This window comes from Homo sapiens, chromosome 6 (genome assembly GCF_000001405.40).
Source record: "Homo sapiens chromosome 6, GRCh38.p14 Primary Assembly".
In the NCBI taxonomy this organism is placed as follows: Eukaryota; Metazoa; Chordata; class Mammalia; order Primates; family Hominidae; genus Homo; species Homo sapiens.
In genome coordinates, this window is record NC_000006.12 from 28,421,104 (window position 1) to 28,443,920 (window position 22,817).

The window sequence follows — 22,817 nt, forward strand, 5'->3', positions numbered from 1 at the left end:
TGTCATAAGGATTCACATGCCAAACTGAAAAGGTTTCTACTGCTCAAAGAGGAGACAAATGAGCTTTAGTAAGGATAGTATTATGGACTGAAAAACATCAAATAACGCTTCAATCCAAAAGTTCCTAATGATACTATTACTAACAACTGGTCACTGTTTTAAAGGATGACTACAAACTAATTCATTGTTTTGAAAACTGATTTAAAAAGCAAAGTAGTGGGGAGTGACTTAAGCAATTATCTTGCCTTTCCTAAACAAACCATTGAATAACTAAACAAAAAATCAGGGGAAATGTCTCTTTATATAACTATTCCAGCTTTATTAAATGAAGAAAGAAGGATGCAATTAGAATGTCACCATTTTGGGACCCGTAATGGATTACTGGCTATAGGTATTGAGGATCAATAGCTGCTAACACCACAGAAAAAGAGACAAACAGAAAATAATAGGCTTCAAATAGAACACACCATCTTGCCAAAATCATTAAATTTATCTGGTCAAAAAAACTTAAAACTTGATTTTGATCAAGCCTGTACATTACTACAATTTACAGAAAATACAGAGGACAACAGAACATCTTAGACTATAGCACATGATGCAGACAGCAAAACCCATGCTGTGTGCAACTCTACAGGACAAACAACTTCATTTTCTTTAACAAGTGAGTTGGAAGAGAAAACAGGAGAGGGTACCCATATATTAAAAGAAACTTAGGAGACATATCAACCCATCACAATGTGTTTTCTTCCTTGGATCTTGATTCAAATAAGTTAAAAAACAAAATGAACAAAAAAAAGTTTATGACATCTTTGAGAAAACTGGAAAATTGATATTAAGGAATTACTGTTAATTGTTTAGGTATGAAAATAGTATTATGTTTACATTTTTAAAATTCATATCTTTTACAGCAAATATTGAAATATTTACATTTGAAAGACTATGCTAGCTCAGATATGCTTTAAAATTATATATATATAAAAGCATGGGATATGAGTAGAGTTGTAAGTGAAACAAGTTTGGCCATAATCTGATAATGTTGAAGCTGGGTGACAGGTTTGTGGGGATTTATTAGAAGTAGTACAATTGTACTTTTATATATGCTTAAACTTTTTTCATAGTACAGAGTGAAGAAAAAAAGAAAAAGAAAAGAGTTTATGGCTTTTAGTTGGTAGTATTTAAAAAAAGAAAAAAGCAGCAATGTAAAAACCCTCTAAGGCCAGTTACAAAATAATTCAATACCCTTGCAGTGAAATGTATGTCAGCTACATATAGGTATTATATGTAACTTGAAAAGATATCCATAATGTAATATTAAACTAAAAAACAAGTGGTAAACAATATGTACTGTACAATGACATTTTAGCATGCATGCGTGCTTTCCCAGTAAGCATGCACCTACTAAAGTTTTATGTTTCCTACACTCATTTAAAAAATGTACATTTAAAAATTTACTAATTGCATGTAGCCTTTTAGTAGTTTTCTATTGGCTTCAATATAGAAAAACATTCTCCTGTCTTTGCGATAAGAGGTCTGGGTTAAGGAAGTTGGCAGTATTAGAAGGGAGAAACTGAACCATGCAAGGTAACATGAGTAGCAGGATTTTTTAAAAAAAACAATTTTAAGGCAAAGAAGTGAAGAAAGAAAAGAATCATAATCCAGGCTAAAGTGGTATGCTTAGAGGAACAGGTTAAAAGTGGAATAGGCAATAGAGATTAAATGAAAGGTATGCAGAGATTTTAGTGACAAGGTTCATTTGGAAAAATGCAAAAAGACACCAACATTTCCTAACTTCTTCTTTGCTATCTCCTCCTCAGCGTTCTCCTTAACAGTGTGAAACTCCCAACATTCAGAGCTGAGTTGACCCTTTACTGGCTGGAGCCGGACTCCAGTTGAGTCCTATGAGGCTGCCAGATACACTATTTGCGTTGGGACACTTCTTGTCCCCTGTAGGAGGGTGGGGAACTGGGCACAATTAGATGGAGTTTAATGAGGGTGACATTTGCTGAAAGTTAGAGCTTAAAATCCCATTATTACTGTGGAACACACGATGGGAGGGCAGAAAGCAGTTTTCTGTCATCTGCAAGGGCAGGGATACACAGACAAAGAGGGGAAAATACACAGGGCCTACAAGTTAAAAAAAACTCACCAAACTAGAACAAAAATAAATAACTCTGGCCAATAACATGTTAGCCATTTTCTCTAACTACGCTAGAGAAGTTATCTCAACTCTCTTATCTCTCTCTGGAGATAATATCTGCTATCTGATAAGACATTTCTTCATTTTACCTTTCCTCTCAGATCATTCAGCTTCCTCTCCAAGTTCTTCAGTACAGACAGCCTCTTTCCTATACTCTGGGATGCTCCTATACCCAGGCCTGGAGTTCTTGGGCAGGATGGTCAGGATCAGTAGTTCCAAGACGTGTTCCTTGCTGTGTATCACTGGTCTCCACCACTGATGGCAAAGAACCTGAAGCTGGACCCTTGAGGCCCAAGTAAATACCCACCATATCCTCTCTGAAGAACTCCTGACCAGAAGCTCCCTTTCTGTGTGGGCTAGATTCTTTAACTATTTGACACTTCTTTCATTCTTCTGCAGTTGGTCTGAATGCATTCCTGGGTGAAACAGCTCAGAAGACTGGCTCACTGCAGCAGTGCGTATGCTTCAGGCTGATGCTAAGGCATAACACATCATTGTTGAGATCAGCTCCAAACTGGAACATATTTACTGAGTGAATGGCTGTATCAAGGCAAAAAGTGTGAAGGTAAAAAAAAAAATTTCTGTGAAAGATAAATAAGCAAAAAATGACATAAAATTAACTAAAAGACATTTCAGTTACTTCAAGAGTGAAGAATAAGACACTATTAGCTTTTAGATCTAGAAAATTCAGTGAAATATTCAGATGATTATCAAAAACAATAGGTGCAAAAAGTAATGCACACAACTTGGTATGCTTATATTGCATGTCAGATGGGTCAATTAACATTTACAGGCATACATTGGACATATTGCAGATTTGGTTCTAGACCACTGCAAAAAAGCAAATATTGCAATAAAGTGAGTTACACAATTTTTTTGCCTTTCCAGTGCATATAAAAGTTATGTTTATACTACATGACAGTCTATTAAGTGTGCAGTAGCATGTCTAAAAAATGCATATACCTTAATTAAAAGATACTTTATTGCTAAAAAATGCAGGACTCTTCACTGAGTCATAATCTTTGAGGCTGCAGAGTCTTACCTTAATGTCTGCTGACTCATGGCTGATTAGGGTGATAACTGCTGAAGGCTCAGGTGGCTGTGGCAATTTCTTAAAACATGACAACACTGAAGTTTGCTGCATCAGTTGATTCTTCCTTTCATGAACTATTTCTCTGTGGTATGTGATGCTGTTTAATAGCATTTTACCCACAGAACTCTCAAAGTTGGAGTCAATCCTCTCAAACTCTGCCACTGCTTTATCAGTCAAGTTTATGTGACATTCTAAATTCTTTGCTGTTATTTCAACAATTTCACAGCATCTTCCCCAGGAGTAGATTTCATCCTAAGAAACCACTTTCTTTACTCATCCATAAGAAGCAACTTCTCATCCATTCAAATTTTATCATAAGAATGCAGCAATTCTGTCACATCTTCAGGCTACACTTCTAATTCTAGTTCTCTTGCTATTTCCACTATATCTACAGTTATTTCCTCCACTGAAGTCTTGAACCTGTGAAAGTCATCCATGAGGATGGGAATCAACTTCTTCCAAACTCCTGTTCATGTTGATATTTTGATCTCCTCCCATGAATCACAAATGTTCTTAATTGCATCTAGAATGTGAATCCTCTCCAGAAGGTTTTCAATGTACTTTGCTCAGATCCATCAGAGGAATCACTATCTATGGCAGCTATACCCTTACAAAATGTATTTCTTAAATAATAAGACTTGAAAGTTGAAATTACTCCTTGATCTGTGGGCTGTGGAATGGTTAGCTGTGTTAGCAGGCATGAAAACAATATTAACCTTTTTGCACATCTCCCTCAGAGCTCTTCAGTGACTCGGTGCATTGTCAATGAGCAGTAATATTTCGAAAGGAATCTTTTTTTCTTCTGAGCAGTAGGTCTCAACAGTGGGCTTAAAATATTCAGTAAACCATGCTGTAAATAAATGTGCTATCGTCCAGGCTTTGTTGTTCCATTTCTAGAGCACAGGCAGAGTAGATTTAGCATGATTCTTTTTGTTTGTTTGTGTGTTTGTTTGAGACAGGGTCTTTCTCTGTTACCCAGGCTGGAGTGCAGTGGCACAATCTTGGCTCACTGCAACCTCTGCTTCCCAGGCTCAAGCAATCTACCCACCTTAGCCTCCCTAGTAGCTGGGACCACAGGTGTGTACCACCACACCCAGCTAATTTTTGTATTTTTTTGTAGAGACAGGGTTTTTCCATGTTGCCCAGGCTAGTCTCAAACTCCTGGGCTCAGCAATCCTCCTGACTTGGCCTCTCAATGTGCTAGGATTACAGCATGCCCAGCCAGCATGATCCTTAAGGACTCTAGGATTTTCAGCTTAGTAAATGAGCATTGGCTTCAACTTCAAGTCACCAGCTCCATTAGCTCCTATCAAGAAAGGCAGACTGTCCTTTGAAGCCAGGCACTGACTTCTCTCTAGTTATGGAAGTCCAAGATGGTATCTTCTTCCAATATAAAGTGTTTCATCTACATTAAAAATATGTTGTTTAGTATAGCCACCTTCATCCACTATCTTAGCTAGGTTTTCTGAATAACTTGCTGCAGTGTCTACACTAACATTTGCTGCTTCACTTTGCACTGTTATGTTGTGGAGACAGCTTCTTTCCTTAAACCTCATGAAGCAACCTCTGCTAGCTTCTAACTTTTCTTCTGCAGCTTCCTCATCTCTCTCAGCCGTCACAGAATTGAAGAAAGTTAGGACCCTGCTGTGGATTAGGCTGTGGCTTAAAGGCATGTTGTGGCTGGTTTGATCTTCTTTCCAGATCACTCAAACTTTCTCCGTATCAGCAATAAAGCTGTTTTGGTTTCTTATCACTCATGTGTTCAGTGGAGTGGTTTTACTTCCTTCAAGAACTTTTCCTTTGCATTCACAACTGGCTGTTTGGTACAAGAGGCCTAGCTTTCAACCTATCTCAGCTTTCAACATGTCTTCCTCACTAAGCTTAATCATTTCTAGCTTTTAATTTAAAGAGAGAGATGTGAGACTCTTCCTTTCACGTGAACACTGAGAGGCCACTGTAGTGTTATTAACTGGTTTCATTTCAACACTGTGTGTCTCAGGGAATAGGGAGGCCTGAGGAGAGAGAAATGGGGGAATGGTTGGTTGGTGGAAGAGTCAGAACACACACCACATTTATCAGTTAAGTTAGGCATCTTATATGGGTGTGGTTAGCGGTGCCCCAAAACAATTGCAAATTACATCAAAGATCACTGATCACAGATCACCATAATAGATATAATAATAATTTTAAATTTTGAAATACTCATTTACCAAAATGTGACACAGAAACACGAAGTGTGCACATGATGTTGGAAAAATGGTGTTGACAGACTTGCTTGATGCAGGGTTGCCACAAACTTTCAATTTGCAGAAAACACAGTATCTGTGAAGTGCAATAAAGCAAAGTGCAAGTAAAATGACATATGCCTGTATAAGTCAACTTCTCTGTGCCAAGAATTGTGCTAGATGATTTCAAAAGTTTGTCTGTTTGTTTGAGACAGAGTTTTTTCTCTCATTGCCCAGGCTGGAATGCAATGGCGCGATCTCGGCTCACTGCAGCCTCTGCCTCCCGGGTTCAAGCCTCCCAAGTAGCTGAGATTACAGGCATGTGCCACCACACTCAGCTAATTTTGTATTTTTAGTAGAGACGGGGTTTCACCATGTTGGTCAGGCTGGTCTCAAACTCCTGACCTCAGGTGATCCACCCGCCTCGGCCTCCCAAAGTGCTGGGATTACAGGCATGAGCCACCGCGCCTGGCCCAAAAGTATTTTTAATTTTAGAATAGTGTGCATGTCAGTCAGGGGACCTCACATCTGACTTATCAGTCCCAAGTTAAACAAACAGGGCCCCCTTGGTACACAAACCCAGTGGGTATTTTTCAATCCTTTTCCTACCAGATGCCCCTGCAGCACCTAACACTGCTAACTACTCCCAATCTTCTAAGAAACACTATACTCTTCTGGTTGTTCTTCCATAAGTTGGTTTTTGTAGCGTTTAGCCTAATGCTTGGCACTCAGGAAGAACAGTTATGCATTGCTTAATCACATGGTTATGTTCTGAGAAATGTGTCTTTAGGCAATTTCATCATTGTGAGAATATCATAGACTGTACTTCCACAAACCTAGATGGTAGAGCCTACTATACACCTAGGCTATAGTGTATAACCTAATGCTCCTAGGCTACAAACCTGTACAGCACGTTTCTGTATTGAATATTGTAGGCAGCTATAACACAAAGCCAAGTATTTGTATATCTAAACATATCTAAACACAGAAAAGGTATAGTAAAAATATGTTATTATAATCTTATGGAACTATTATTGTACACGTGGTCTGCTGTTTACTGAAACATCGCTATATGGCACATGACTGTATTATACAAGTACCTGTTAAATACGTTTCTAATGACTATTATTTAGTCTACTTCGTAGCTCTTATTCTGCCTGTCAAAAATGTCTAGTATCCAGCTGGGCACGGTGGCTCCAACCTGTAATCCCAACACTTTGGGAGGCTGAGGCGGGTGGATCACCTGAGGTCAGGAGTTCGACACCAGCTTGACCAACATGGAGAAACCCCATCTCTACTAAAAATACAAAATTAGCCGGGTGTGATGGCGCGTGCCTGTAATCCTAGCTATTTGGGAGGCTGAGGCAGAATTACTTGAACCCAGGAGGCGGAGGTTGTGGTGAGCTGAGGTTGAGCCATTGCACTCCAGCATGGGCAACAAGAGCAAAACTCCATCAAAAAAAAATGTTTAGTATCCTAAATTGAAATCCAGCCTTATTCTCATCCCATATTTATTCTGGGCAATCTCAACCATTTGATGACATCAGCTTTCACCTGAAAACTCCTAAGCCTGATTCTCTCATACCAATCTTTCTTTGGAGCTCCAGGCCCTTACAGTCCAGTGGTGCATTAGACCTTTTCACTTGTATGTCTTACAAGCATCTTCAACTCACCACCAAAAATTCATCATTTTCCCCTTGTGACCAATTTATTCTCCAATATTAGCCATCTCTTATAAAATTGTGCCACACTTACCTAATAATTTAATCCAAAAACCTGCCTATTTATCCCTGGCTACATTTATTTTATTTAAAGAATACACTTAGTGTGTGACAGGCAGTTCTCTCAGTACCTTTTCTTTCTCACTTTCATCAATCTAATTAGTTATCAGGTCTAGTTAAATCTGTAATCTTTAACACAGTTCCACTTGGTGCCCTCTTTATTTCTATAGCCAGTGACTTACTTTCACCAACTTATGGTTTTGGTTCTTTCTTTAACAACTACAAGTCTCTTATCTCCCTTGCTTTCAGTTTTGCCCCTTTCCAATTCATTCACCACACCACTTCTAGAATATTTCTAGAAAGCTAGTAAGATTACATTACTCCTCTGCTTAAATCCAGACAGAGCATATAACTGCCCAACTACTGTGCATTGCCACAGTTTACTGGGTGCTTCAAATGGCTTATAGGAGTACCACCAGCATACTGATCTCTTCAGCTACCGGGGTGGCCAGGAAGTGTGCATACAAATTTTCTTTATGTGCTGTGACATTAAGAAAATGGAAAAGCACACCACCCTATAAACTTTAAATTCCTCAGCATATTTCAGTTACTCTCTACTCTCTTTGCCCCACCTCTGCCACTCTTGTTGCCCAGGCTGGAATGCACCCACCTTCATTTACTTGTGGTTTTCTGAAATGGTTTTCTGATCCCTCCTTCACATACTATAACTATCCCTCAAGGTCCATTTCCTCTTTGCTATCCAACTTCTGAGAGTCCACAGAGACAGCTCTGCTATTGCCTACTCAGGGAAGTTATCTTTAACGTTCCACCTCCAAAGTCCCTATGTACGAAGTTTATTTTCCTCAAGGCAACATGTCTTTCCCATTACACTATACAGTAAGAAATGCCTTTTATCTGGCTTATTCCCATTTTTGCAACATAAAGCCTGGCCCATTATGTGGCACTCAATAAATGCTTGCTTGAATGTTCTAACTTCTGAATGTTTTCTTACCCAGAGAAATTCACGTACCACTTCCCTCTGTTTTGCAGAATTGTGGGGACCATGTAAAGTATTTTTCTTTAAGTACTAAGCCTTTACAGATACACAATATCGTGACCATTAGCATAGGGGATTTTTATGAAAACTCTGAAAAAACTGTTCAGGTTAAAACGGCCGTAGGATTCAGAAAACGTATACGGAAGCCAGCTTTTGGCCATAAGGACCTGTCAGCTGATGGATTCCGGTGAGGCCTCCTTGCTGGTAAGTCTGTGCCCTCATCTCAGAAGGGGGTGATCCATACAGACCTAGCTCTGTACAGCGCTTTGTTCAGTTCTCTGTATCTCTGAAATGTCTGATGGAGCAGACACAAAACACAAAATCCTGATCCTGAGAGATCTACGTAAAAGAGGGGAACTCGAGCAAGCCCTGGAAAAGGGGGCAACAGCACCCCCTCCGAGTACCGTTATCTCTGGATCGCTGAGAAAGTATAAAGCATCTTGCATGGGTAGAAGAGACCAGGACACCGCCTACACACACAGTCCCAGGACACTAAAACCTGAACACCTCTCTAGGAGAAAGGACGCACTTCGGCCGGCTCCTCTGCCGCCTCTCTAGGATTCTTGGAGGATCCATCAATCTCAGTGGTTCATTTGTGCACACCACCTGGCTCACCTTTGTGAGCGCAGAAGCCGCCTCAAAAAGGCTGAGGCCGACAGGGGTCGTAACCTCTTGTGTCCAGCAGCCACTCAGTCTGGGCTGACTTCTCTCTCTCCCCTGCTGAAGACACTTGACTGCTCGCACTGGATCCTCCGTGTCCTCCGTTCCCTAGGTCCCGGGTCCTCCAGGGTCTCAGGCATCAGGGTCTTTCCCTCTATCCTCAGGGAGATTCCTCAATTCGGCCCCAACGAGCACCTTAGAGCCCAACCAAGATCCTGGGATGGCTGATGGGGGTGTAGGAGTCTAGGCACAGGCACACTCAGAGCTCCTCCCACAGCCCTAGTCATGTCTCTCAGAAGATAAAGGGCTTTCCAAACAAAACAACCAACCAACCAACCAACCCCAGGTCTGGTATTATCTGTACCACACAAATTGTCCAATTACCTTCACTCTGCCCCCAAGGGTCAAATGCAATAATCAACACCCACCTGAGGAAAACGGGGAAGATGTTGGCTTGTTCTCCATTGTTTTAAACCTGTTTAAATAAATCAGGTCCCCCCGAGTAACTTAACCACTAGCAAGTTTGGGGCTTATAGATCCCTGACTACATACCCCTCTACAATGAATTAGCAGAAGTCAGGGGTGATGAGGGGAGGCCACCACCACCCCCACCCCTGCAGTCAATGATCTTGAGTCAATTGCTGAATAGCTATGAAGATCTATTGACACACTTAAGGCAGGGTCAGCTGTCTTTGGTACCATCAAGTGGCAAGAGGACTCCTCCACAGCCAACAAATGATGTGGAGTGAATGTGATAAATTATGAAACTACTTGGTACAATATCTGCCCCCTTCCCCTTCATCCGACTACCTGCTTAAAATGGCTCACTGTTTGCCTTAACACTGCAAGCTCTGATCCAGTACTCTATCTTCTCACTTTCTTCTACAGTATAAGGTTGAACACTGTACTCCATCGGTCCCTATACCACTGAAACACTCCTGTGCTTCCAGGATGTTGTCCATCTTGTCTGGTAAACCATTCACTCAATAGGTTAATCTTAGGTAACTAGTTATGTTAACAATGGGTTTGTCTTAATTAGGGGCGGGATGGGGGGGCCCTCTGTTTTGTTTGTGCAGACATATTATCCCATCCTTTCTTTCCTAATCCAATAGATCTATTACTGGGGGTTACCAGGCTAGGTGGCTACACCTAAGTCTCCAACAGCCTTTTTCATATATATTCTGCCTTAGCTTTCATGACAGAACATTGTAATCTTTCTGATTCTCTGTCTTTTCTATATGCTTGGTTGAAAAAATACTGCCTATTGCAAAAATTATTAGTATGGGGACCGTACCTCCTGGTTTATACCTGTTGTCTTGGTGTAATTATTAACAGCACTCCTTTTCATTTTCAAGTGTCCCAGATTGGACAATAAATTATATAGTTACCTTATGTGTGTGGACCACTAATATGCTAATTAGATACAGATTTTCAGGCTCTGCCTCAGAAACTGATTCAGTAGGTCTGGGGTGGGGCTGAGAAAACTGCACTTCAAACCAACAACCCAGGTGATTCTAGTGCAGCTATCATCAAGAAATAGTGCTTTCAACACTGCCCATTGGCAGTTGGCATAGAAAAATGGGGATAGGTTCAAGGAGATCTAAAAATCACAGTGGTTTATAGACTGCTTTTCTCCCTGTCCTCCATTTTATGGAAAGTAATAAAAAGTGTGAGGAGTAAAAGGCAGTGAGATTTTCACTGCTTAAGACAATAGTATCTAAAAACTTGGACCAGTTGATAAATAAGAGAGATTTCTAATAATTATTATGAAGATGAAGCATGTTTCTTGGCAACACTCTGTCTCTGCATCTATCTTTTTATTTTTCCTTTGGTCAACATTTTTTGCCCAATCTAGAGTTTTAGCATCTAATTTTACCTTCTGTCTGATTCTTTTTTATGTTCTTATATTTTGTTCTTTTTTCTTTCCATCCCACTTTGTTGTTGCTGTTGTTTGCAGATGCCTACAGTGGGTCTCAGGGCTCCAAGTGTAAGTGTCTATGAAACCATATATAATTCACAATTATCTTTGTTCATAATTGGTTTCCTTTACAAAATTTTTAAGGCAATAAAAGACAGAAAGATTACTACAAGTGCTTAAGCACTTTGGACTTCACTTTTCTCATTATCTTAAATGGAGAAGCATTTAAGATATTTATAAACTCAGAATACTATAGAATATGTATTACATCACTTTATGGAATACATATTTACTTAAGAAGTTGATTTTACTTCAAAATCGAGTCTACTATATTTTTCTTAACTTCACTCAAAAATCTGTAGCTATTTATCTTGGAAATAATTTAACCTCAAGACACAATAAAAAATACTTTTCAGGAAATATAAGTTTTTTATAATACCCGCAATAAGCCTTAAGTAGTGACACAAACAGTTTGATATGTAAGGTGTAAGAATATGTGATAGAACTAAATACACTAAACTGAAAAATACCACCCATCACTTCTCCATTTCTCTGTAGAAGAATTATGTGCAATTCTGGTTGCCCACGCCTTGTTTCCTAGCTCATATGAAAGCTGTTAGCTTTTGAACAGAAGGAATTTAACTTGGACTAAACTGGGGAAAAGAATGAAACAGAATATGTAACATTTTAAAATAGTGAGATTTTTCATCTATAGGAGTTTGTTAAACTATGGAGTATGAACAAATAAAATTCTATTCACTTATAAAAAGAATGAAGAAGTTCTGTTATGATGTGGACATCTCTAAAGATTATATTCTTTCATGAAAACAGCAAGGTATTAGAAGAGTATAAATAATATGCCATCTTCCTGAGTAATGGAAGAAATAAGATTATACATTCATATTTGCCTATATTTACATAAAGAAACACTGAAAGATACATAAGAAACTAGTACAATGGCTACTTATAAAGGGAAAGTAGACCTTTTTGTATTATTTTGATTTTTGAACCAGGTGAAGAATGAATTATCTTTTTAAAAAAGTCCTACTGAGTAAATTAAATTTTAAAAGCTAAAAATAATAATTACAAAAATAAAATGCTTTCAATGAGGAATAAATGAGAAGAGTCTTTCCTGGACTCCACTGTAAATTAAATAGAGGAGTTGTGCTTTATTGAAACATATAAATGGGTGGGTTTGTTGAGCAACTTCAGTGACTTATAAATCCTATAAATTCCATATACTTGTAATTTTTATTTGGTGATATAATGCCTCCAGTGGCTTAATAGAATGTTACACTAGGAAGTAGGAGACAGGGTTCTAGTTCCAGCTCTGCTTTTAACTGGCTGTATGATCTTAGTTACTTCCCAGAACTTCCTTTTCTCTTATCTGTCAAATAAGAGCAAGCAGAAGTGATCTCTAAGGTCCCTTAGAGTGATTCTGTTATTCTAAAGTTACTTGCTATGTATTGGGTATTTGGGTGTATTCCAAACCAGATTGTTTTCACCATAGGTTTTCCATTTCTTTGTCTCCTGGACCTTGTGTAAAGCTTTGTAAAGAGTTACTAAGTCAATGTTAAGGGAAATAAATTTTTTTATTTATGATCTTGGTGGTAATCAATAGTAAATGCTGAGAAAATGTGGAGGTTATAAAAACAATCAACATGAAAGAGTGATCATACTCTTCTCTTCAATCTTGAATATGTTTCAAATTTTCCATACAAAATATTGAATAAAGGAGAAAAAGGCAAAAACAAAAAAATGCTCATTATATGTTACGGGAAAAATACAAAGAGGCCTGTATTTTCCAATAAGAAATCTGAGGTGAGATATCAGATTTTTAGCTAAGTTTCTTAGCCTCTGCGTAAATTTAAAATCATGAGCAATATTTGTTATGAGGAGCCACTGAGCTGCTAATAACATATGGCTGCTTCAGTTCCTTGGTTCCTAAAGGCTAACTAAAAAATCTATAGAAATCTAACTTACTATAAATCTACATTTATATAGGAGGATTCATCTGCCCCTTTTTGTAGGTTACAAAACAAATTATCATATTTTATGTGAATGGAAAGAAGTCAGGAAACCTATATTATGAATTTTATTACAATTATTTTTAAGTTAATTTTTAAATACTCGGTGAACTGCATTTGAGATTATTTTGTACTCAGCCTACATATAACTATTTTAAACTTTTAAAAAAAGTTTTTAAAAACTAGGATGAAGAAGTTTTCCTGAAATAGAAAACTTCTTGCACAGATGTGTGTGAAACTAGGTCTACAGCATACATGATGAAATCAACACAAGAGGCAACATTCAGTATTGCAAAGCTGTGGATGTCACTGATCAGAGAACTCGGCAGATGTATTTAAGATATTATGCTTCTCTCTGCATAAAAGTAAGGGAATTTTTACTGGCTTTCCCTTGAACTTTTCTATGCTAGAGGACACAGCAGGGACAAAGTAAGAAATATTATCCCCTACCTGTTCCAAGGAGCTAGCTTGATTCAGCCACTGGGTGGACTTTCCGATGCTGGATTAGGTTGCAATGGTAAATGAAGTTCTTGCCACATTCTTCACATTCATAAGGTCTCTCTCCAGTGTGAATTCTCTGATGCTTAATGAGGACTGAACGTCGACTAAAACTCTTATTGCACTGATTGCACTGGTAAGGCTTCTCCCCAGTGTGAATTCTGAGGTGATGGAAAAGCCCGGCATTCTGGCTGAAGGCTTTGCCACAAACACTGCACTGGTAGCGCTTCTCCCCAGTGTGGAGTCTCTGGTGCTGGAATAGGCCTGACCTCTGGCTGAAGGCCCGCCCACACTCATCACATTCATAAGGCTTCTCACCTGTGTGTGTTCTCTGGTGCTCGATAAGGATGGAATTCTGGGTGAAGCTTTTTCCACATTCACTACAGATATAGGGTCTCTCCACTGAAGAGCTCACCCTTTGCTTTTCCAATCTGCCCTCACGGTCACAGGTATCTCCATACTCAGGAATCTGAGTAATATTACCATTCTGTTTTCCAAGAACTTGTATAAGAGATTTCACTTCCTGAGAAATCTCCCTCTTTGGGGCTAACTCCACATTCCAAGTCCCAGCCTTGCCATCTAAAATAACGATAACATGAAAGATAACATGAAGTATGAAAAATAACAGATTATCTTTCCAAAGACAAAAGAAAAAAAGTGGCCAGGAGAATGGGTGGAAGGGGACAAGTAGCCACTTTTTCTGTTTATTTTTCCACTCTAAAGCTATTATACCCAGACCTCAGGGAAAAGATGCATGGTATTATAACTGCTTACTTAATTGTCTGCCTCTCCCACTAGACTGTAAACTTCGTGAGAGTGGGGACCACATCTGCCTTGTTTATCACTGTATCCCTGGTACCTGGCACAGTGCCTGGCATACAGCAGACACTAAATAAATGGGTTGAATTGATAAATATTCAGGGAATGAGGTAGGCTGTCTGAGGAAATCCTGATCCTCACCAATCTCTTGAACTGGGCACACCTCTCGCAAATTATACCCAAGTTGCTCTTCCAAGGTTTGGAATTGGTCATTTGATGACTCCTGAGCTGCTCCTGGAGTTGCCTTCTCCTTTACAAACTCTTCCTGTTCATGAGCATGGCTCAGGACCTGGTGGAAATCAAGGACAGTTGGGAACCCAATATCAGAGAGAACATGGCAAGGAGGCCTCCTCAGGGCCGCTGGATAGAAAAGAAGGACCAAGAAGCTGGCAAAGAAAAAACAGAGGCAGAGAGACTAAAAGCCTACAGAAGATCAAGTCTGGCATAAAAAAAAAATCCTCCTCCTCTACCTTTTCTTGTTGCACTGAAACCCCATACTTGTTCTTATAGGTACAAATCCCTGTTCTCCCATCTTCTCACCTGCTCTCCTGGGTCATCCAGCTCTCTCTCCAAATCCTCCAGCACAGTCACTGCCTCCTCTCCACTCACAGGACGGTGCTGTCTGACCCAGGCCTGGAGCTCCTCAGGCAGGATAGTCAGGAACTGCTCCAGCACCAGCAGCTCTAGGATCTGCTCCTTGGTGTGCATCTCTGGTCTCAGCCACTGATGGCAGAGCTCCTGGAGTCTTTGAAGAGCCTCCCGGGGCCCAGGGGACTCCTGATAGCAGAACTGCCTGAAGCGTCTACGAAAGATCTCTCTGGTATGAGGGTTATTTCTTGACAGGCCTGATTCTGGCCCACAGGAATGTTCCTCCTCTTCCTCCTTTACCTTCACTGCCAGAAGTCCTTCCTGCATCTCTGCAGTCTGAAGGGTCAAGGTTATGGCCATCAAAGGTTTAACTATTCAGAAAAATAATCTATTCTTGATAATTCTCCCTTGATCTTTTCTTCTGGAAACCCCGAGATCTAGACAATAATTTACGAAGAAAAAAATATAAAAATGCAGAAAACCTCAGGACAAGGAGGGACTGGAGTATTTACACTAAAATCAGTCACTCTGTCTCATGAAGGAACACCAAAACCTGATTAATGATAGATACTTTAGAAATACAAATCCAGATAATATAGGAAGAAAAAAGAAATGGAACAAAAACGCCTACAGTTTTCTGAAGGAAGGTACTGTTTCAATCATCCTGACCGAAACAGCTCAAATCAGCTTGAGTATATTGGGTTTCCATTTGAATAGCAAGATACTAAATTCAGGGTAAATTTTAGCTGTATGAAGGTAAAAAAACACTTTGGGCCCAAGTGGTCACAGATGACACCAAGAATCAAGAAGAAAAGGGAAACAAATGGAGGATGGAGGGAAAGTAAAGAATATAAAAAGAATAAGAACCGTAAGAAATGCACTTGGAGAGAGGAGGCAGAGTCCCTCCAGCCATAGAAGGTAGAGTCCCTCCAGCCATAGGAGGTATGGAGGAGGGAGATCTAGGTTTAAAGTGTGTAAGGTCTTGGACTGAGACATCAACCTGCAGGTATTCCCTCCAGAGTCTTGGGCTTCATGTTTTGAGCCTTGGTCTCTTCAATCTATAAAACAGGAATCCTAAAACCAACACTGCCTATCTTTCTAGGTTGATACAAAGATAAAACGAGGATAATGAGCACAAAGAAGTTGGCTACTTAGTAAACTCCAAAGTGGTAACACTTATTTTTCTTATGTTATTGTATGATTAAATGAATATCCTAGTGGTTTAAGGCTAAGGCAAAAGAATCAGAAAGTAGTTGACTGCAGTGGTCTAGGCTCAGAGATACTAAAATGACGGAAATATTGGTTCCAGTACTTTAAAACAGGAGTAGAATTTGACCTTTCTCTTGCCCTTTAATTTCTTTGAAACTTTTTCTCTTTGAAGCTACTTGAAGGTGGAGAGTAGGCAATTTTATGTAAAATAAAATTACTGCTAATAAAAAGACAAATGTCTATGACTCCTGAGGTCAGGAGTTCGAGAATAGCCTGGCCAACATGATGAAACCCCGTCTCTGCTAAAAAATACAAAAATTAGCTGGGCTTGGTGGCACACGCCTGTTATCCCAGCTACTCAGGAGGCTGAGGCTGGAGAATCGCTTGAACCCGGGAGGCAGAGGTTGCAGTGGACTGAGATCACACTACTGCACTCTAGCCTGGGCGACAGAGCAAGACTCTGTCTCAAAAAAACAAAAACAAAAACAAACAAACTTATGAGCAATCTTTACCAGGATAGTAATTAATGAAGAAAATTTTCTGAAAGAAAAACAATTATATGACCCAGTGATTTCTAAGCACCATCTTCGAGTAGAGACTTTCAAACTTTTTTGACCAGGACTCTTATTAAGAAATATTTTATATTATAACCCAGAACACACATGCATATGTATATATGTTTGTGCATTTATGAGATACACAAATACCTAAAATAATAATTTCACAAAACACTATGTATCCTTGCTCTATATAGTGACATACAATTATTTTTAAACCTATTTCATTAAAAGACAAAACAAAAAAGCCTGGGAACAGATTTTGTGGGTTATAAAATCTATGTGGTGGGTTGTGACACACCACATAGATTTTATGACCCACAAATGAATAATAACCTGTAGAATAAAATATTTTTGTTTTAAGTAAAATTGTTGTAATCCATTGCAAAAATAACCCTACTCTATTCTGTTTGTTGTTTTTTGTTTTTGTTTTTGTTTTTTTGAGAAGGAGTCTTGCTCTGTTGCCCAGGCTGGAGTACAGTGGCACAATCTCAGCTCACTGCAACCTCCGCCTCCTGGGTTCAAGCAATTCTCCTGCCTCAGCCTCCTGAGTAGCTGGTATTACAGGCACCCACTACCATGCCAGGCTAATTTTTGTATTTTTAGTAGAGACAGGGTTGTACCATGTTGGCCAGGCTGGTCTCGAACTCCTGACCGCAGATGATCCACCCGCCTTGGCCTCCCAATGTGCTGGGATTACAGGCATTAGCCACCGCGCCCAGCAACCCTACACTATTCTTAAGGTGTTGACATGCATTGTGAAATTAAATAACTAAGAATAGGGTATTTTATTAGTCTGTTCTCAAGCTGCTACTAAAGACATACCCAAGACTGGGTAATTTATAAAGGAAAGAGGTTTAATTGACCCACAGTTCAGCATGGCTGGGGAGGCCTCAGGAAACTTACAATCATGGTGGAAGGGGAAGCAAACATGTCCTTCTTCACATGCAGCAGCAGGAGAAGTGCCGAGCAAAAGGGGGAAAAGCCCCTTATAAAACCGTCAGATCTCATGAGAACGCACTGTCACCAGAATAGCATGAAGGTACCTGCCCCCATAATTAAATTGTCTCCTACCGGGTCCCTCCCACGACACATGGGGATTATGAGAAATTGGGAACTATAATTCAAGATGAGATTTGGATGGGGACACAGCCAAACCATATCAGGTATTTAAATTACAAGTGAACACTGATCACATTACAACCCGAAGAAAAATTAGATTCATATTGTGATTATTGGTTATATTTATCAAAGGGGAAACAAACTACTGGCATGGGACAGCATCCTTCCGGATAACCTGCACACATAATCCTCTCCATAAAGTTCTGACATCTTTGGTTTGGTTACCTTCTGTAATCACTACCCCAGGAAATGTACAGAGGATTTTTTTCCTCTAAAGACAGAATCTGCAAATTCATGTTTTCCCCCACTTTTTTTTTTTTTGAGACGGAATCTCACCCTGTCGCCCAGGCTGGAGTGCAACAGCACGATCTCAGCTCACTGCTTCCCAGGTTCAAATGATTCTCCCCTCAGCCTCCTGAGTAGCTGGGATTACAGGCACCCGCTACCATGCCTAGCTAATTTTTGTATTTTTTTGGTAGAGACAGGGTTTCACCATGTTGGCCAGGCTGGTTTCGAACTCCTGACCTCGTGATCTGCCTGCCTCAGCCTCCCAAACTGCTGGGATTACAGGTGTGAGCCACCACGCCCAGCCTTCCTCCACTTTTCTTGGTGCGACTCACCACCACTGTGACTACCATACTATCTTTTTCTGTCATAACTTTTCATACACCATTCATTCACTTGGCAGATATTTATTCAGAGCCTACCAGCAAATATATATTCAGAGCCTACCATATTCCATGTACTGTTCTAGGCACTGGGGATACAGCTGCAATTATAACGAAGTCCCTAGTCTCATGGAATTTACATCCTAATAACAGTATTAATAATAGCGGACATTTATAGTGCTTTTAACGTGCCAGGTATTGTTACAGATGCTTTATATATATTAACCCATTTAATCCTCAAAACAACCATGAATAAGGTGCTATTATTACCCCCATATCACAGATGAGAAAACTGAGATATGAAAAGTTTAAGTTACTAGTCCAAAGTTCAAGTCAGTTACAGATAGTAAGCAGTGAAGCTGCAATTCAAACCCAACAAATCTGACATCAGAATTTACAGTCTCCACTGCTACAACACTAACTTCTGTTGGGGAAAAGAGGGGCCAGGATGAGGAAAACGGGTCAGAGGAAACAGATAATAATTAAGTATTTGTGAAGTAGTGATAAATGCTATAGAGAAAATAAAGGTAAGGAGAGAGAGAGTAAGGGGAAAGAAAGGTTGCTATTTTATAGAGTCAGGGAAGGCCTTGATAAGGTAATGGTTGAACAGACCTGAAGGAAGTGAGGAGCAAGTCACATGGCTATCTGGAGAAAGACTGTTCCATGCAAAGGTAACTGCCAAGTGCAAATTTTTGCAGGTGGGAACACACCTGGATTCTTCAGGTAATAGCTAGTTGAACAATGGCTGGAACAAAGAAAACAAAAGGGAAAGTAACAGGAGATAAAGCAGGGAGCTTGGGAACTGATCATGAAAGGCAGTGGTAAGGGCTCTAACTTGTATTCTATGAGATATGGAAACCACTGGGGATTTTTGAGCCAAGGGGTAACAAAATTTTACTTCCATTTAACACAAAAGCATAACTCTAGCCGCTGTGTCAATGACCTTGGGGTTAAGTGGAGGCAGAGAGGGATGCTATGATAATCATCCAGGGAAGAGATCATCATGGCTTGAAACATGATCTGCTGAATTGGTTCTAGGGTAAGAAAGTTTTGTGGTAGAAATATCAAATAGCTAAATCCAGAATATGTACTCTCACATTACTCAATAAACGTACCATGGATTCAAAGGATGAAACAGCCACTTATGCTTTCTTGTTTTTTCAATCTTTTAGGGTCCGAAAATGTCTTTTTCTTATTTACCACCTGTGCCGCTTGGTTTCAAGTCAAAGTTTTTCTATTCAAAGGCAATGCAGCTGAAGCTTAGAGCTCTGCCCAGAAAAATTCATTTCTGGGATGTGGTGTTTCAAATCTTTATACAGTTTCCCAAATACAAATTTCCCTATTTTCTCTGTATACTCTGGGTTCATTTTTGCTTTCCTTCACCTGATTTTGCTTTTATCTGGTGGCCTTAATACCCAGATCCTTGCACCAGCATACCTGAGTTCTTCTTTGAACCTGGTGTCTCCAAAAGGCTTCCCCAGTTTTTTGTAATACTGCCCTCCTCGTCACAAACATAGAGTTCCTAATCTTCCATTCAGGATCACAACCTCAATGTATATGCCAGGTATATAATTAGCATAATAAGTCTTACCTTAAAAAATACATCTGCATTTTAAAGTTGGTTCCTCCTAGAGCCTCAGCAAGCTGAACACCCCCAAATCTACCATCATCCTCATGGAAGGATGCTGTTAACCAAGGACATGCACGTAGGTGAAGACTAAGCAGCATGTAATACAAATGTGCCTTTATCATCATATATCCCACGACCCTCACCTCCGCTGACACCATCTATGGCTCCTCACTAATTGGATGAATTCCCAAACTCTCAAGCACAGTTTAAAACCAGTCAGACCTTTAGCTTCTGTTGTCTGGCTCCACTCTTGGTTTCCTCTATTCCACAAGCAAAAACTCTCAGCTCCAGTCAGGTTTTTCTTCTCATTATTCTAATCAGGCGTTTCTCATCCCTGCGCCATGAGCTTGGTCTTGCCTTCTTCCCTTATTCGAACCTTACCCAATCTCTGCAGCTTGATTCAAATCTCACATCCTCTCTGAAGTCTTCTTTACCCATTTCAGCTCACCCTCTTCCAACTGCCCACTCATATGTCATGTACTGTATGAGTCCCACCTTTCACCCTCAGTCACAATTTATCTTGTACCATTACTTCTCTTCAGAACCTTTTTTAAATCCAAAAAGTAGAGAGGAATATAGAATTCTTTCACCAAGTTCTATTACCCTGAAATAAACAGTCTTAAATACTGGAATGTGTCCTTTTCTATGCATTTGCAATCGTATATACACATGTATACACATGTGCACACATAGAGTTGATATAAGCCCATATATTTTATTTACCTTAGACAAGCAGAAGGTAGTATGAGATAGCAGAGAACACAGGCAGATCTGGTTGTTAATTTTTTTTTTTTTTTTTTTGAGACAGAGTCTTGCTTTTGTTGCCCAGGCGGGAGTGCAGTGGTGCGATCTCGGCTCACTTGCAACCTCTGCCTCCCAGGTTCAAGCAATCCTCCTGCCTCAGCTTCCGGAGTAGCTGGGATTACAGGGACCCACCACCACTCCTGGCTCATTTTTGCATTTTTAGTAGGATGGAGTTTCACCATATGGGTCAGGCTGGTCTCGAACTCCCGACCTCACGTGATCTGCCCACCTCGGCCTCCCAAAGTGCTGGGATTACAGGCATGAACCATAGTGCCAGGCCATCTGTGAATTTTAACGCAGTGATCTTGGGCAAGTTAGTTGATTTTTCTAAGCCTCAAGCTCATATATGAAATGAGGTCAACAACTGCCTTGCCAACTTGTTGAGAATATTAAATGAGATAATGCATACAAAGTGTTTTTGCACAAAACCTGGCATATAAACATGCAAATTAATCTTTTAATAAGATAATGTACAATTTTGGTACAATGGTAGTTTAATTAATAGTTGCTACTTTCCCTTAGGGCCAAGACTGTAATCTTTTTCTATTGCTCAAAGAACAAGATGAGTGGGTGAAAACATGCACACAAACCAATAAAACGGCTGTTTCATCAGGTTTGCAGAAACACTGAAAGATATACGTCTTCAGATATATTCTCTCCAATCAAATCCTAACTAGAAGCCCAGGACTACTGAGGTACAAAAGAAGGACGGGATTCAAATGAGCGAAGTAACTTCCCGGGTTATAGCTGTAAAGCTAATATAGGAACAGAGTGGAGTTAGCATAGCAAAGGTTTTAAGAAAATGGAGTCTGGAGCCAAATTGCCTGTATTTGAATCCTGCCTACACCCCTTACTCGCTCTACGACCTTGGGCAAGTTACTAACTTCATTTTCTTCTTGTATGTTAATTTTAAAAAGGGGCGGGACAGAGAGGTGGGGTGTAGTCTACATAATAATAGTGTCTATCTCATAGAGTTATGAGAAGCAGATAATATTTGTAAAGTGCTTAGAACAGTGCTGGGCTGGCACATAGTAGATGCTATTTATTCTTTTAAAAAATTCGATAGCAGCAAGAGCCTTTATACTATGTGAGTTAGACTAAGAAAGGCTGTGGCATAGTTTAAAACTATCCCTGCTCATTCTTTAAAATAAGTCCACAGTAGAGAATAAGACATCGGAAAATACAAACATTTCTTCATATCCGAATCTATTTGAATCCTAAGATGCAGATACGGAGAGTTCAGAGTGCCATCAGTACAGGGCAGAGAGGTTGAAGAGCTCAGGAACAGACATAGGGTGGGGGAAAGGGGTAGGGGCAACGACGCTGACTTTTGGTTAACAAAGCCCTTCCAGGCTGCGGAGCAACCTCCTCTGCCCTTCACCTGCCCGGCCCATCTCTGGCCAAGAAGACCCTGCCGCCAAATCCCCACACCCAGTCCAGGTCGCAGTGCACAGACTGGCCCTTCCGAAGCCCCTCAGCGGTAGCCCGACTCCGAAGCTCACCGAGGCATCCGTGAGAGGAGATGCCACCTAGCGCAGATCACATCTGCTCTGAATCCTTGACAACCGCAGCCCAAAGAATGATAAACTACAAAGGCCGGAAATGCGTCACCGCGGCCCGCTCTCCGCGAAACAGCGGTTCCGGCTGTGTTCCTTCTAGGAAGGCCGGAGGTTTCCACACCTCTGTGGTCGTCACTCTGAATCCCGTCTGTAGTCTTAAGTGAGATACTAGGTGACACATTGTCTTCCACGCGGCAATATAATAACGGCCAACATAGTGTTTTAACACGTATTAATTCATTACCCCGCATAACAACCCTGTGAGTTAGGTACAATTATCTCCATTTAACAGGTGAGGAAACTGAAGCACATTTCTACATTTATTAGTTGCCATTTCCTGCAAAGAATACCCTTTCTTTTCCCTGCCGTCTCATTTTATCACGATGAACTCATGGATTCCTTTACAAATAATTACTGTTATTATTATGTTGATGCTCAAATTATTTAAAATTTGGTCAGTTGGAG

The 22,817-nt window shown here is 40.1% G+C and overlaps 1 protein-coding gene across 6 annotated transcripts, besides 4 other annotated features; it reads right to left on the reverse strand.

The window, feature by feature from the left end:
• Window positions 1–296: 296 nt before the first annotated feature.
• ZSCAN23 (zinc finger and SCAN domain containing 23) lies at window positions 297–22,388 on the reverse strand. 6 transcript variants are annotated; one of them, XR_007059226.1, is made up of 7 exons: window positions 22,296–22,388; window positions 18,972–19,104; window positions 14,756–15,240; window positions 14,357–14,504; window positions 13,349–13,975; window positions 3,240–5,302; window positions 297–2,737 (listed from the first exon to the last, which is right to left on the reverse strand). XR_007059226.1 is itself a non-coding variant. In XM_047418384.1 (5 exons), exons 2-4 carry the CDS (start codon window positions 15,161–15,163, stop codon window positions 13,362–13,364), a joined length of 1,170 nt encoding a protein of 389 aa, XP_047274340.1. In that variant the 5' UTR covers window positions 15,164–15,240; window positions 18,972–22,388; the 3' UTR covers window positions 5,959–10,948; window positions 13,349–13,361. The 6 variants fall into 6 exon arrangements, 2 of the variants coding, with proteins under 2 accessions (XP_047274340.1, NP_001012458.1); XR_007059224.1 differs by adding an exon at window positions 5,501–5,612 and having other exon boundaries at window positions 18,972–22,388; XR_007059223.1 differs by having other exon boundaries at window positions 18,972–22,388.
• Window positions 2,074–3,273: an enhancer, noted in NCBI's record as "BRD4-independent group 4 enhancer chr6:28390954-28392153 (GRCh37/hg19 assembly coordinates)". NCBI's record gives its function as "activates an origin of replication core promoter dependent on BRD2, P300/CBP, MED14 and CDK7 cofactors, and independent of BRD4, by STARR-seq in HCT116 cells {active_cell/tissue: HCT116}" and the evidence as "EXISTENCE:reporter gene assay evidence [ECO:0000049][PMID:35650434]".
• Window positions 22,187–22,697: an enhancer, noted in NCBI's record as "H3K27ac hESC enhancer chr6:28411067-28411577 (GRCh37/hg19 assembly coordinates)". NCBI's record gives its function as "activates a minimal SCP1, AML or CMV promoter by ChIP-STARR-seq in primed H9 embryonic stem cells {active_cell/tissue: H9 hESC(primed)}" and the evidence as "EXISTENCE:reporter gene assay evidence [ECO:0000049][PMID:30033119]".
• Window positions 22,271–22,320: an enhancer, noted in NCBI's record as "active region_24358". NCBI's record gives its function as "activates an Ori minimal core promoter by ATAC-STARR-seq in GM12878 lymphoblastoid cells {active_cell/tissue: GM12878}" and the evidence as "EXISTENCE:reporter gene assay evidence [ECO:0000049][PMID:35858748]".
• Window positions 22,491–22,570: an enhancer, noted in NCBI's record as "active region_24359". NCBI's record gives its function as "activates an Ori minimal core promoter by ATAC-STARR-seq in GM12878 lymphoblastoid cells {active_cell/tissue: GM12878}" and the evidence as "EXISTENCE:reporter gene assay evidence [ECO:0000049][PMID:35858748]".